The 15735-nt window shown below is 43.2% G+C and overlaps 1 protein-coding gene across 7 annotated transcripts, besides 1 other annotated feature; it reads right to left on the bottom strand.

Annotated features, from left to right (window-relative positions):
• Positions 1-2850: 2850 nt before the first annotated feature.
• On the bottom strand, positions 2851-14433 carry GRP (gastrin releasing peptide). Of its 7 annotated transcripts, none has more exons than XM_011525933.3 (3): positions 14284-14433; positions 7888-8130; positions 2851-3218 (listed from the first exon to the last, which is right to left on the bottom strand). In XM_011525933.3, exons 1-3 carry the CDS (start codon positions 14351-14353, stop codon positions 3154-3156), a joined length of 378 nt encoding a protein of 125 aa, XP_011524235.1. In that variant the 5' UTR covers positions 14354-14433; the 3' UTR covers positions 2851-3153. The 7 variants fall into 7 exon arrangements, with proteins under 7 accessions (XP_011524235.1, NP_002082.2, XP_016881201.1 ...); NM_002091.5 differs by lacking the exon at positions 14284-14433 and adding an exon at positions 13218-13464; XM_017025712.2 differs by lacking the exon at positions 14284-14433 and adding an exon at positions 13218-13464 and having other exon boundaries at positions 2851-3211.
• Positions 13630-14244: an enhancer, noted in NCBI's record as "H3K4me1 hESC enhancer chr18:56886610-56887224 (GRCh37/hg19 assembly coordinates)". NCBI's record gives its function as "activates a minimal SCP1, AML or CMV promoter by ChIP-STARR-seq in primed H9 embryonic stem cells {active_cell/tissue: H9 hESC(primed)}" and the evidence as "EXISTENCE:reporter gene assay evidence [ECO:0000049][PMID:30033119]".
• Positions 14434-15735: the final 1302 nt, after the last annotated feature.

The following is a 15735-nucleotide window of genomic DNA, read 5'->3' as shown; positions in this document are numbered from 1 at the left end:
GATATATAATATATTATATATGTTGTATATATTATATGTTATATAACATGTTATATATGTTATATATAACATGTTTTATATATGTTATATATAACATGTTATATATATGTTATATATGTTATATAACATTTTTGAACTAAGTAGAGTGGAAAGAAAGGTAGGGAGAGGATTCTGTATCACATCTGGGTCTGATTTAAGGTGATTAATTAAAAGAAACGAAGCCCTTGGAGGTGGAGCTAGGAGCCTTTTCCATGCACATGGTGAACATCGTTTCTTTGCTGTGAGGATGACAATGGTTCATAATTACAGGTCTCCCTTGAAGAGTTATTTCATGTTGTCTGAATAAAACAGCCAGTGGCTAAGGAAGTGAATAATGCAATCTCTACATTCTACTTAGATTACTCCCCACACAACCAAGCTGGGTTAAGATGCTCGGTAATGATAAAATATTCCCCAAGTAGGGAGTAAAAGGCGAGCATTTTGAGGCTAGAAATTGTACTGCTCTGCCGGAAATGCCTGCTTGGTGTGTTACTGAACCTCTAATGACATGCAAAAACTGCCAAATCGCCCAGAGCAATCCAACCTGTGGCACTAAAAAATAAAAATTAAAAATTAAAAAAAAAGACTGCTTTTCAAAGGAGAAATTCAAAGGCCATTACTGCTTTCTTCCCTTTTGGATTCTTCCTTCTGATTATCCTGCTTTGCTGCCAGGATTTCTAAGGTATCTGCTCTTAGAAGCAATCTTTTCATCTTGCTGTACTATGGACACACCTGGACTGTGTGCTGTGCAGAACAGCCACCAGGCTCCTGCTTTCCCTGAGTCCCAGGCTAGGGACTAACTGTTCTTTAGAGTAGGAATGGGCAGGAATCAAAGGGAAAATTCTTTTTGGGGAAAAAGGGAAGGGGCATATATTGTTTGTAGTCAACCACATCTCTGAACACCCTCTCTCCATTTTGATAGGGTCCCATTATTTTAGTCCCAAGAGCCCAAAGTAGAATCCTAAAAACTCCATTTCCCAGCAGCCCTTGCAGCTAGGTACAGGAATATAATGTAGGTTCCACCAATCAGACACTCATTCAAGACTGATTTGGGAGTCTCTGGGGAGGGCGGGGCGGGGGAAATCCTACTGCAGGCACAGGTGGTAGCAGAGGCAGAGGAAGAGAGCGCAGACTCAGGCAGTTCTGCAGCATGCTTCTAGGGGTAGCCACCTCATCAATACAATTAGAGACATGGCTTTGGGCATTGAGCCTGCAAGTTTAGGCTTGAGCCCGGTTCTCTGGTCTTCCCTGACTAATATCTACCCATCGGTTTTCTCCTTTTCTACTTAAACTACCCAAGGTGGATGCTATTATCTTTAGCTAAAAATTACCTGACCCAATAGGCACACACATGTGTGGTGTGATATAACTCCCCTTGCAAATAATTTCTTTTTTAATTTTGCAGGGAAGAGTATACCTCTCAAAAAGATTCTAACCTTGACCGGGTTTGGCACAGAGGAGCACTGCAAGGGAGAGGAGATTTGAGAGAGCTGTTCTTACATCGCAATCAGAACTCATGGAAAAAAGTGATGGCTGCCAAAACATGGGATCATGTAGGTTTACTCTTGTGAAACAGCCAAACAAGTGATAGTCTGGATGGGGTTATTCTAGGAGCACTGGCCTATGTCCAGGAAACCTTTTCTTTTTGCCTGAAATCCCACCATTAGAGAAAGCTTCCCCTGGGTCTGGAAGGTGTTGTTTGTTTGTTTTTTGGTTTTTTGGTTTGTTTTTGGGGGGTGTTTTTTTTGGTGTTTTTTTTTTTCTCTATGAGTGTCCTATTGGAAGGCAAATCCTTGAGAGGGCTTACACCTTCATCATCAGCGGCATGGGGGCTTTAGTTGACATAGGTCAGGATCAAGTCCTTGGGAAAGAGGCTGAAGATAGTCTCATGATAGAGAACAGGGGCCCTGTAGAGGAACGTGGTAACACTGAAAACACAGTTCACACATTTCCCCAGGTCTAGCTGTGTATATGTTGTGAATCAACATGGTTTTAAAAGAAATTAGGAAGAACTCATCATCTCTTATGTGGTTCTAGGTAATCAAAACAAGAGCAAGCAAATCTCTTTAAGGTTGCTAATGTGATTTTCCTAAATGAAGAAATTCTAAACATATGGCAAGAAGCTTCAAAATCTGTTAATGTGCAAATGTCATGATAAAAAAGGAATCGGTTAAAAAAAAAAATAGAACTAGTGAGTGTTAACGAACTGCCAGGCCACATTCTCTGAAAATGGAAGGAACTGAATTCATCTTATTCTTTAGCTGTGGAACTAACTAAATCTGGCACTGGGGACGACTCCTCCCAGACTGGCGATGAAATTTTGAAAAAACAGTGCTACTTGCTAGGCATAAATATACTGAAAGGGACGTTTAAAATGAGTAATGCAGGAAATCTGGTGACTGTGGATGTCTAGATCCCAGTTCCATTTACTATGTGACTTGGGCAAGGCACTTGATCTCTTTAATCCTCTGTTTCCTCATCTGTTAAATGGAAATGATAATTCTCAGCTTAAAGGACTATTAGGAGGCGTCCCTCAGTAATATCAGCAAAATACCTGGTCATGGTAGGGGCTGAAGATTAGGGAATTCTTAAGTGATGAATAGGGCTAGCCTCCATCTTCAACCTGGCTCACCTGATGGGAATGAGAAAGTGAGGGAGCCTCTGGAAAGGCTCTAAGTCACTACAAGGATTCAGAGGGGAGAGCTTCAGCCTGACTTGATCAGTGAGCACACGAGTACGTCCTCAAGCTGTTTGTTCATCTCTGCCACACTATCCTCTCATTTGGGATTGAAATAAGAGAACAGCCTGCCCTTTGGACAATGTGTTTAAGCTTTTATTGTGAATGGTAACAGCTCGGGGCCTTGAATCTAACCAACAGGTAGCCTAGATATAAAAAAGCATTAATTGGAAGACTCTTTTCGACAATTGTTCACAGCAAACAAGTTTAAACCAGAAGATGCTGCTTGAAAATCACGAATTTAGTCAAGGATGAAAGATACAGAATAGTCAAATATTTTGCACAAGGAAATCTTGTTGATGATCCGTAGAACTGATGCTTGCAGAACGCAGTCTCTTAGGGGTTTTGTTTTTCTCTTTTGAGAGAGGCCATCATTATCATTGCTGGTTCAGCTGGGGGTTCCTTCCTTCACGTTGAGAACCTGGAGCAGAGAGTCTACCAACTTAAGAAATATTAGAAAGAGTTCAGCAAACAGAGTGAGCTGAAGTCTAATCCTAGAAGTAAATCCATTCCTACAAGTCATCAGCATCACTTGGGAGCTTGTTAGAAAGGCAAATTCTTGGTTCAGCCTAACACCTACTAAATCAGAAACTCTGGGGGCGGAGCGCAGCAATCTGTACTTTCACAAGCCCTGCAGGTGATTCTGAGCCTGTAAAATTTGAGAACCAGAGCTGTCCCCCAGGAGATAAATTAACTTCTACTTTTTTTTGAGCTACTGCATTTTGGGATCTTATTGTTTTATCAGCTTAACATGCATCCTGATATGATTACTCAGGTATGTTTCAACCAATGTTGGTTAATGTATTATCCCCAGGAACTTATTACTAGAGGAGCAGCTGAGTGTTAAATTCTGGGAATGTGGAATTTCAATTCTTACTTTGCTTACTTTGACAGTGCATCGTTACACAAGTCAAAGCTAGTTTCTGCATTACATAATTATACATTACAAACCTACAACTGTAAATGGTAGTAGTGTGGAAACTTGGGAAGAGGAGTTAATGTGGATTTCTGCCAATTCTAAATTTATTGTGGTTTGCTTGTTGTGGCTTCTGCTCAAATTAACTAAGGCTAAAGAAAGAATGAGTAGTTATAATTTTAAAATACTTCTTTGTTCCCATATAGCACCCTTTACGCGCTGAGATGAAAAAACACTTTTTGTTGAGACTAAGAGCTTATTACTCTTCCCAAGATTCTCTGGCAATTCAGATTCCCCAACTTCCATATCAGCCATTTTCTTCTAATAAAGGAACTACTGATATTCTTGGGCAAATTATTACCTCCTCTGGCTCAGTTGTTTTGACCATGGGCTAATGAGCCCAGGGCCTGGGGTTTGATTCCCACGCATGCCAATTAGCTTTGCTTGCCTCCACCAACCCAGGCTGCCCTATTAAAGCCTGCTGCCTGTCCGAAGATGCCACCACACATCTTGCCTTATGAGTCATTGGTCATAAAAGGGGCCAGCTAATGTGTAGGGAAAAAAATCTACATAACTCCCCCATTGGCTCAAAATATTGAATAAGAGAGGTTTGGCTGGAGGGAATAAAACTAAAAGGAAAAAGAGAGTTGTGGAACCTAGGAAGATCAAGGAACTGGGAGGCAATGGGCAGGGTCCATTGTTGGGGGTAGGGAGGAGCTATATTCCAGGTGGGGGCCAACTTTACTCTACTCCTTCATAGAAAGTGCCAGGGTAATCAGAAGGTTATGAGTGATTCTTGATTTTATGTTGCTTTTTCTATATTTGGCACTTCCTTTGGAGCATTTCAAATATTCAGAAAAAAGACCTTCCTATTCTCTGTACTGATTTGATGAGACAGTGAGAGCAGTCCCTTAAAAGTGAAGAACGAACACATTTACTTTCTTTCCATAACAGCCTTTGTAGCTCACTTCCTTGCCCTCTTCATGTCCACTAAATAAAAGGAGAGACCTAAGCTGCAAAGAATAAGGGACTAAGTCCAAATTATAAAGGTAGACCAAAGGCCAACTAAAACCTCCATTGAAACCCAGGACAGTGAACAACCACATCCAGGATCATGGATGAGGCCCTGGAGCTTCATCCATGGGGATGAGTTTCATGTTGCAGAAACAGAACAGAGTTTCATGTTGCAGAAACCATGGGGGAAAAGTTCCATTAATTGCAGAATAGAATTAAAAGATTTGTGAGAAGGGCACAGTTAAAAGGATTAAGGTTAACCTTGAACATTGCTGGGCATAATTGCTCTGAAAGTTCTGGAGCTGTTTCCATGGTCGAGCAATCTAGTTTCAGTGCACATTACACACATCCTTTATGAATTAAGTAAATATCTTTGTCATCAAAACATAGGAAATGCTTGGAGTTTCTAACCACAGCTCCAAGAGAGTTGGCAACAGTACTTGATGTTTTATTACTAAAATGAGAGAGGAGAGCATATGTAGATAGTTTTTAATTTTAAGAACAGTCCTTCAGCCTCTGAAAACTCCTGCTGCTAATTCTGGCAATGCTTAGCTAAGTTATTAAGTTTCCCTCTAACACTCCCATAACTCTAAGATATGGGAGATATATGGGTTCTAATAGAACTACTCTCTTGGCACCCCTTCTTTTTGAATAAGATCATTGTAAGGTGTTTTCAATTTTCATAACAGCATACTTTCATTGAGGTGGAATTTCCAGTGCAAGAGAAGCAATAAAATATTTTGGTCTCTGCAAACACTAACTGTGGAACTTGTTTTTGTGTTACTAGGAAATATAGCCAAAAGAATAGTACCAATGTGTGCGATAACTAATTATTCAACTGGAGGTGGAATTAAATGAGATGGGCTTTCTAAACCTGTAAAAAGAAAAACAATGCATAAAAATAATAGAAAAGCAAAGCCTGATTTTTTTTATCATCTTTTTGATGACCTTTTTCAGTTCACTTGGGATAAGGACTGCCCCCTTTAAGCAGTCACTCTCGGCAGCTGCCCACTCAACCCATCCTATTATACTGCTACTCAGACACCTTTGTGGAGCTATTCTTTTTGCTGTTGCCTTTGAAGCTTACAGAATATTCTTCTGAATGTGGTGGAAAATTTTTGATCCTTAAGGAAGGAGTTGAATTTGCCAAAAGATTCCAAAGATATGCAGAGCCAGGTTGAGGAAATAAAATAACAAACTGGACACTGCTGTTTGTTTCAAAAATGAGGCACTATAGAATAGTAACATGATTGTGTGTTAGTAGAGGGGAGTATTTCATGAACGAGCTATGAGGGCAAGTCCAGTTCAATGTTTGCAAAAATTATTTTCAAGGGTTTTGTGGTGGCAATTTTTATTACTGTTCAGACAAATGAGAAGGGTACTGCTGTTGGATATCCACCTACAGGAACTCTGGCAAAGCACCTGACCATGAAAAAGGCATGGCAGCTAGAATCTGAGAAGTCACCTGCAAGTTCACAGAACCCTCAGAGTATGGGATCAATCAGTAAAGAAGGGGGCTGATGACATAACACCTATGACACAGGTATGGACCAGACAATCGCTTGGGGTTTTGTACAAAGTTGGTATTTATTTCTGTATTGGTTTATTTAATCTAGGATTGTTTTTGGTTTTTGTTTTTTTTCTGAATAAAAGCTACAAAGACTTTCCCTCTAGGTGCTTAGTGCAACAAGTGAACTTCAGTTTCCATTTAGCATAGAAACCCACATTTGGGAGGCCAAGGCTGAGGGAAATCACTTGAGCCCAGGAGTTTGAGACAAGCATGGGCAACATAGCCAGTCCTTGTCAAAAAAAAAAAGAGAGAGAGAGAGCAAGAGAGAAAGGAAAGAAAAGAAAGAAAGGAAGAAAGAAAGAAAGAAAGAAAGAAAGAAAGAAAGAAAGAAAGAAAGAAAGAAAGAAAGAAAGGAAGAAAAGAAACCACATAGCCAGAACTTGTAAGAAAGGAAGGAAGAAAGAAAAAAGAAAAAAAAAGAAAGAGAAAGACCAGAATAGACCCAAAGGGCAGTGAAATAGAAAGCTTCCCTCCAGAAAGCCAGCCGAGGCTTGGCAAAGGCAGCTCTGAGCCCCTAAAGGGGCCATCAGTCTTCACCATGAAAGAGTGAAGAAGGAAGCTCTCCAGTACTGTGAGTGGAAAGCAATATTATTTATTGTCAGAAGCAGCAAGTAGCAAGGCCTTCAGCCTGGATCCTTTATATTAAGATCAATGAGGACCATTTCTGGAAGATGTCTGGCATGGTACAGACTGTCTGAGGCCGACTGAACACAGGCCCTTACCCTGATTTTATCAGTGAAAAGCTATGGGACTAGTTTCCTTACCTCTAAAATGGAGAGAATAATAGAATCTTCCGTCTAAGACTTCTGTGAGCATAAGCCGAGAAAATGGAGGTAAACTGCTTAGCCCAATACTTGGATTATCGTAAATATTCAGTAAAACTAGCCACCGTTGTTATTGTAATTATTATTTTGTATTTTATTATACATTTCATGGAAACTTAAAAGTTAGTGATAATCACCTCATTTTCAGTTGCCTTGCTTTCTTCCTGTAAATTTTATTCTCTCTTATCTTGCTCACTGTCTTTAAGCATTGCCAGTTTAGTATAATTATTTTCCCCTATCCTCTATAAAATCATATACAGGATGGATTTGTTGATCTCAGACATGTTCACTGAGTTTTAAAATATTAGGATGAAACCTGAACTAGGTACTCCTGGAACAAATATGAAGAAGTGCTACTTTGTGTCAAAGGTAGCAAACAAGAATGCTGTCTTCTAAAAACAGGAACTTCCACTAGTGTTCACCAGAAATAAAATAAAATCTGTAGATCCACAAGGATTTACTCAAATAGTTTGCAGACTCACTATCAAAACATTCTTGTAGGGCCTGTGTGTTAAAAAAAAAATCCCATCAATGCGTAATGGCAAATAGACAAAATTGCTGAAAAAAACTCCTAAATTGGAGTTTGGAATCAATATCCTTTTGACTATATGTCAAAAAGAAGAGAATGTAGAAATTGTCTGTCAATGTGCTTAGCATGTGTTAGCCTAATGTAGTGACTGTGAAGGTTTATATCATAAGCAATTCTATTCTTCCTCCTTTGAACTTGCCCTCTTTCCACCTCTCCCCAGATACCTCCCACCCCATCTTGCATGTATGTTTCTTTTACCTTTGCCTTTTGAACCTACATCTTTGAAGTTGCTGCTATCCTCTGAATCCCACGAAGGCTGCTGATTGCCCAGGGCCTTGGGTTGAGGTGGCTGGTGGTTTCTGTTCTCCTTTGCTTCTATGAGACCCAGCAAATTCCTTGCAGCTTCTTCCCACCTGATGTACTCTCTCAGCTGCTGCTTCAGGCTCCCTCTCTCAGAAACAGAAGAAGACTCCCCTGTGCTCTTTTTCCCCATTAAGTGCCCTGTAAAAACAAAAACAAAAACACTCAGAATGCCACAAATTTAACCAAAGGGAATGAATGAGAAATTTAAAAGAAATTTAAAGCTAATTGTGTTTGTGCTGCTTCCTCCTAAATGCAGAATAAATCATGTTTTATTAAGAGTTAGTTCATAAACGACAGATAGATTTTGCTCTCTGTTCAAAATGTGCAATGAGCTAGACAGCATTCAGAACTGCAACCCAGGAACCCTGGGTTTGGTTCCAGCACCTCTCCTAACTAGTTAGGTCACCTCTGCCAAGTCGTTTAGCACCCCTAGTCTTCAATTTTCTCAACTATAAAATGAACAGGGTAGACTAGATTAAATCTAAGGAGGCTTCCATATCTAAAATTCTATCATCAATTCTGTGTGCACCAAATTCTATTTCCAGCTGAAAGATGGAGTTTAAACATCTTCCCCAGCCAATTTTGAATTGCTGCTGAAAATAAAAGTCTCCATGCTTTTCTTTGTGTGGTTTTTTAAAAATATTTCTTTCCTTTTATCGTAATAAAAAAAATACCAAAGGAATTTTTCATTTAAACTTTCTCAGAGTTTTAGTTGAGACTGAACTGAGAAAACTACCCAGATTTACTGTTTGTTAAGAGTGTAGTGAAAAACAAGTTGAAAACAAGCCCTGAGTAACACTTTACAGCCGCATAAATGCAGAATTTTCTCTTGGGTGTCTGAAAGTCTATCAGTGGCTCCAGGAATGTGTACTAGCCTTGTAAATAATTTTTTTAAAAAGCTGCTGTTAAGGAGGCCAAACCATCAAAAACATGAAAATTTATGTATGCAAGAGAGGATAACTTGGAGTCAGAAGTGGGTACAGAATTCAAGGTCTGCATTCTTAACACTTTAGACCCTTGCTTGAATATTCTCATGTTCTCTATTTCTTACAGTTGATTTTTCCTCTCTCTGTAGTTGGACTTTGTAGCACTTTGAAATTTCTAACGTCAACAAAACTATGGTGCTTTTGATCTAAAGTGTGCAAGGAAAAAGGTCTTTGTGGTTCCAACACTGACTGGCATTAGAAGTATTTAAGGCAAACATAAAATTTGAAAGATCTTCAGTCTTAAAATGGAAAGAGGCCCCTTCCCAGAAGTTCTATCCACCAACAGAGAAGCCCTCACTTTAACTTTATTGCTTTTATGTGTATTGCGATTTGCAGTTTATGGGATGTTTAAATGTGCTGGATTTCATTTGATCCATATGCTAATTGGTTTGGTGAAAATGAGACTTGCCAGAGGTCACATAGATGTAAGCAACTATTTTAGGATTAAAATCAGTTCACAATCTAGACTACATTATTACACTGCTTGGCAATGTCTTCTAACTTGCTAAGAATATAAGGTAGCTAAAATCATTCTGGGATCTGGAAATAAGGATAAGGTCTACAAAAGGCTTTCTAATGTTATAAAAATAGGGATTATATGCCAATATATCATGATGCATTATGTAATTGAGAAAAATTAATTCTATGAGTATTAAGGAGCATTAAAATCAGGTTTACTGCATTGCAGTGTGAGCATTTGCCAAATTGCTTATGACATGAGACTTCACACAATTTCAGGATCCTAACTGGGGATACTGTCCCAAGTGAAGACCTGGAATCCTGAATGACTGGCTCCTCACGTATCAGCTTGGTCACATGGTGCTCAGATAGCCACTCAATAACCTTGCATTCAGCCATAACGGTGATTATGTTGTGCAACTTCCCAGGAAGTAGTGATGCATTTGACTTTATTTATATGGAGGAAATTAAATCATGATGGTTGGAAGGCAGGATTAGAATCCTGATACTCCCAGTGATGACCTAGATCACCTTGCCCTTCTAACTGACTATCATCTAGTTAGAATGCTGGAAATGAGAAAGAGTTATTGCCAGTAAAACAGAGAAGTGATGCAGATATCACACATAAGAACCTCATTTTTGTCATGCCTGAATAATTTTGTGGACTTTTCTAAAATGGGAGGAGAAAGTTATTCTCCATTCTGTGATTGTACTAACTTTCAGTACTTGCATATATGGGGAATGTGTGGGGATCAGTTCTTTATCTCTAGTTCCATAGACTGGTTGCTAAGGAGAGCACGCTATCTGTAACATCCCAGGGAAGTACACATTCCCTGGGTCCAGTTTTGCTTTTGAGCTAGTGACTGTCAACCAAATCGTCATCTCCATGGCAACATGGATGATACGCCCACTTCCACCTCTTCTCCCAACATCATCTGTCAAGTGCCCATATCATAATAATGGAAACCTCACCATAGACAAAAGACAGGCACTTGAAAAAATAAAACCTTGATCAGAGAAAAAAAGAGCTTTTGTTCTTTTTATTAATCATTTAAAGATACTACTAAAGGGAAGGTTTGAAACAGAAATGAATAAGACATAGATGAAAGTGTTGAGTACTACTAAGAAGTAGTATTTTTGGACCCACACTTAAATTCTATTCCACAGTTTCTGGGGCCATAACAAGCCATTCTGCAGTGGAATACTGGTATTTCCAAATTCAACCTTCTGGGATATGTCTCACGTCCAAGTTAGAACCACAGTTAGGAGCATTTCATGGGTGCACAGGGAATAGTAGCCAGTATAAGTGTTGTCATATATTTTCATCACACAAACAAAACATTTCCACGAACATCAAGCCAGATAAAAATTTGTTAAGTTTTCAAGCTGTTAACCTTTTTTCCATTGCTGCACCATGCTTCTCTCAGCTAGAAGAAGCAATTTACTTACCAAGCCTGTAAATGTGTGCTGACAGCATCCTCATGGACAGCAGCATGTAGCTTTGGTTTTATATAATTAAAACTAAACTACATGTCTTTGGTGATTGAAGAGGATAAGCATTTTCTTGAGATAACTGAAAGCTAAATTTGAAGTGTAACATCATTCATCCTTGTCAATGCTCATATTCCAACAGAGGGCATGTTACTCAAAGCAAACGTTTTCTCAACCGCAAGGTAATTTTAGGCTAAAATGTGAGTTTCTACTTCACCTCCCTCTTTCCCTTGCTCCTCCTCAACTCTGCACAGTTATCAAAGGGAGAGAAAAAAGTGCATTTGAGAATAAATATGAAAATGGTATTTGGGGTCACCACTGGTTGGTATTCTTTTGGGTTAGGAATGCTCAAGTACCACTATGAAGGGCAATTAAACGGCAGACACCCTAAATACCTGGAGACAGATGTTCTGCGGAACTACAGCAAATCAAGATTGGCTTGACTTGCACCAGAAATAACACGATGCCACTCCCCAGTTAACTCTATTGTCCTCCTTTGGGCCTGCAAGCGTTACCTAATAATAAGCTTTATTAGTGCAATAATATAGATGAGTACAAAGAGATTGGGAATCCAGAACTTTCATTCCATCTTTCCAGCCCCATTGGCTGGTGGCTGGGCCAGATAATGGCCACTTGATCTAAGCTCCCAGAAGCCCTCTTTAAGAAGCATCAATTCTAAGTTTGGATTCTTCAACACCTGCTAAGCATCCTTCATTCTTGAAATGGAGGGTTTTTCAGCTTCACCCATTCCAACCTCTCCTCTCCACACCAGACTGCTGGGTTCCTCCTGTCCCTCAGCGATCACACATCCTCTCATCTCTGGAACTGTCAAGACTTGGCAAATGATTATTTTAGCAACAGTGGAAACCACTCTATTGCAGCCCAAAGATCTCGACTTCCCTCACAAAAGCACACACGACACAGACGAGCTGAGGAAGCAACAGTTCCAGTCCCACTCCTTCCCCCAAATTATTTATCTTCTATCAAGATTTGTGAATCAGCCGATATATGAATTAGCAAGTACTTGTTCAACACACCGTTCCCCAGCGCCCGTTCTAAGTAGATGGCTAAGGAAATACACACACACACACACACACAGAGACACACACACACAGAGACACACACACATACACACTCTTAAATCTCTTCAGGGATTAACCAGCTTCCCAAGAAGCTGGTTGGGGTTGTTGTAGTTGGCTTTTGTGGGGCGGGTAGGTGGGGGAGTGAGGAAGTTGGACGCTCTGCGTTTGCTGGAAGCTATGCTCGGCGACGCCGAGAGCCCTGGGGTGATGCTGGGTGAGCCGAGGCTGCCAGGCGCTTCCTGCCTCCCAGCTGAGCGAAAGCAGCGAGTGCGCGCAGGGCGGAATCCTGACCCCACCCGCAGGCGCCCTCCGCACCCGCAGCGCGGCCGTCCTCTCCGCCTGGGTTCTAGGGGCCATGGCGAGGGAGCCTCCAAGCCGGTGCCTAGAGAGCAGGACCTGTTGCAGAGGGAATGGGAAAGGAGCGAGGGGAAAGGGCGAAGTCGTGGGTCAAGAAGGGCGGAGAAAGAGCGGAGCTCAGAGGGGCAGAGAGATCGGGATGAGCTTGGAGAGCAGGCGAGATTCCCCAAGCTCAGAGCCTGCTGGCTGGAAAGAGGGAGGGCAAAAGGGCAGGGAAAAGAATATCGCTGCAAAGCGAAGAGAAGGACTGAGGAAACTCCAGAGAGTCACAGACAGGCGGGATTCAGGGCACTGCGCACTGAACAGATGTGAAACCCGGGGCGGGAGCGCTGCACCCTAGGTCCCCACACCTGTGGCTTTGCGGGGAGCATAGGCGCAGCTTAGATTTCAGCCCATGCCAGTCGCTGTTGAGGCCACCGAGCTGGACCAGGGTTCTGAGATGCTTTCAAGGGACAACGCTCCCCAAGATTATTCTAGGAGAGTACCGTGCCAGACAGGTTGAGACTAGGCGGACAAAAGGAGATGTAGGATGGGCGCAGAGGGAAGGTGATCTGCACCGGGGTTGGCTGTTGGGAGCTCGGGTGCCCTGGGGAAGACAGGCTGGAAGCGAGCGGGAAAGGATCAGCGGACCAGCCTGCGGCTGACTAGGGACTCATGGGCTCCCTAGAATGGGGAAAGGTGGGGTGGAGTTTTAGGAGAACGGGGAAGGTGTTTGCCGATAGAAAGGTCACAACAAACCCAGCTCCCAAAGCTGGGCCAGGGAAACGCAAAGAAATGGGGAGACAGGTCCCCTCCGGCTGGCTGATCCAGAGGAGGACAAGCGCGCGGCTCCCGCGGCCAGGACACTCACCCACCGCCCAGTGGTTGCCGCGCGGGTACATCTTGGTCAGCACGGTCCCTCCGCCCGCAGGCAGCGGGACCGCTCGCCCCCGGGGCGCCAGGCAGAGGACCAGCGCCAGCAGGACCAGCGGGAGCTCACGGCCGCGCATGGTCCCGACGGGAAGCCCTTGGAGCGCGCCGGAGAGGCTGGGAAGAGCAGAGACTGGTGACCCGGACCTCGGAGGAGCTCCGCCGCCGCAGCCGCTGGTGCTACTGCTGCGGCCTCCACTAGGGCCCCTACTTTATATGGAAGCCCGGGCGGGGGGGCTGGGGGGCTCTTCTATCGCGGACCAGAGCGCTCTGACGTCTCCCTATAGCTAACCGGGGCGCTGGGACGCCCGGTCCGGAAAACCATCCATCTCCCCGCCGAGTGATGAAAAGGCTGAGTGTACATTGCCCCCTCTTTTTTCCTCGTAGCCCCGTCCGCCTTCCCCACATCGGATTAATTCCTCCGGTCCTCGACGCCTTCCATCCAACACAATTTAGTGAACTCCTCCCTCTCCAGGCTCGCCGGCGCCTCCAGCCTTAGCTGCCTTGAGAGTCCTGGAGAGGGCGACCCCGCTGCCTGATCTGGGCCGGGAGGGGTGGGGGGTGTAGCTGGAGACGGGTGAGCTCTAAAGATGGATGGGCTTTGCTGGAGGGATTTGGAACCACCATTTGAAGGCCTTCTGATTCTCCAGACCTTTCTCTTCGTAGGCCACATCTTTGCTGTCCCAGCCCATAGATTTTGGAACCTTGCCTCCTTGCAGATCTCTCTCTCTTTTTCTGGACCTTGCCTCTTTCTTGCAGATCTCCTCCCCTCCTCTCCCCTCCTCTCCCCTCCTCTCCCCTCCCTTCCCCTCCTCTCCCCTCCTCTCCCCTCCCTTCCCCTCCTCTCCACTCCCATACCCTCCCCTCCCCTCCACTCCCCTTCTCTCTTCTCCTCCCCTTCCCATCCCTCTCTCTCTCCCCTCCTCCCCAATCTCTCTCTCTCTCTGTCTCTCTCTCCCCCTCTGCTGCCCTCCACCTTAAGGTTAAGGGCAGTATCCTTAACCCACCTGGTATTCCCAGGCAGCTCTGCCCACTTGTATGGCAAGACAGAAGATAGCTGGCCCTTTTCACAAGCATGCAACTTCCATGGAATAGAGAAAGAAACTGCTTTATGCCAGTTTCCCTAGGCTGCCTCTACCTGAAAGCTCAAACTGTCCCTAAACTGCCACATACACACCCCTCTAGAGTTGCTCAACGTTCCTCTGCTCCTTCTGTTCTCAGATCTAAAGAATGGTCACCAGCCCAATCCCCGAGGTTCTAAATACCATGGATACAAAGGGGATCAGCACCATAGCAATGCAACAATAAATAGAAGCTGGTAGGATGCTGTTGCCCACGTTTTGGCTGCCAGAGTTGGCCGTGTGGTTGGAATAGGTGAGGTCTATTCCTCCTCAAATGCTTGTTAATTGCCTCCCTGTTGGGTCTTTAGTGTTCCATGTCAACATGGTGTTGATATTGATATATTGATATTGATAAAGTTGAAAACATACACTTGTGTCTGAGTATCTGCTGATTCAATACATTCTTCTTCTTCTTTTTTTTTTTTTTTTTTTTTTGAGACAGAGTCTTGCTCTGTCACCCAGACTGGAGTGCAATGGCGTAATCTGGGCTCACTGCAACCTCTGCCTTCCCGGCTCAAGTGATTCTCCTGTCTCCGCCTGTGGAGTAGCTGACATCACAGGCATGCACCACCACGTCTGGCTAATTTTGTATTTTTAGTAGAGATGAGTTTTCACCATGTTGGCCAGGCTGGTCTTGAACTTCTGACCTCAAGTGAGCCGTGGCCTCCCAAAGTGCTGGGATTACAGGCATGAGCCACTGTGCTTGGTGTTCAATATATTCTTAAGTGATTACACACTCACATTGCATGACTGAGTACTCTTGGATCTGAAGAGTATTTTCATGCATGTGTCTGGGTCTAAGAGAAAAAAAGTCAATTTTAAGATCATTAATAGTTTGGTAGCCAACCAAATACAATAATACTATCCTCAGTGAGTGAGCTAAGTGAAAATCAAAAGAAAAAGGTCCACAGACTGGCCTGGGCTCCATCCCTCCCGGGTTCCCAGCCTCTCTGCATTCCGTTCCCAGGCTCTGTCAGTAGGCAAGTGTTCCATTGGCAGGCAACTGATCATCCCTAGGCGTGCTGCCTCCCACACAGTGAGCTTGCTTCAACACAGGGACTTGGTATTGTTCCTCTGTGTGTCTGCAGAGCACCTGGATCATAGTGGTGCTTGATAAGTATTTGGCGAATGAACAACAAACCTAAGAAATGCCCAGGTCTAAGAAATGCCTTCTGCAACCGTGGATCTTTGGAGGCGCATTAAACCCTTATCTCTCCAAATTAAGTTGTAGAAAAATGCTCTTTCTCTTTAGTTTAACCAAGATTATTTTAGAATCTTTCAAATGAAATCCTCCACCTCCTCCCATCCCCATGAAACTAAGGGGAAGCCACTGTAAAG

This window comes from Homo sapiens, chromosome 18, assembly GCF_000001405.40.
Source record: "Homo sapiens chromosome 18, GRCh38.p14 Primary Assembly".
In the NCBI taxonomy this organism is placed as follows: Eukaryota; Metazoa; Chordata; class Mammalia; order Primates; family Hominidae; genus Homo; species Homo sapiens.
This window is presented reverse-complemented; position numbering and strand designations above follow the sequence as displayed.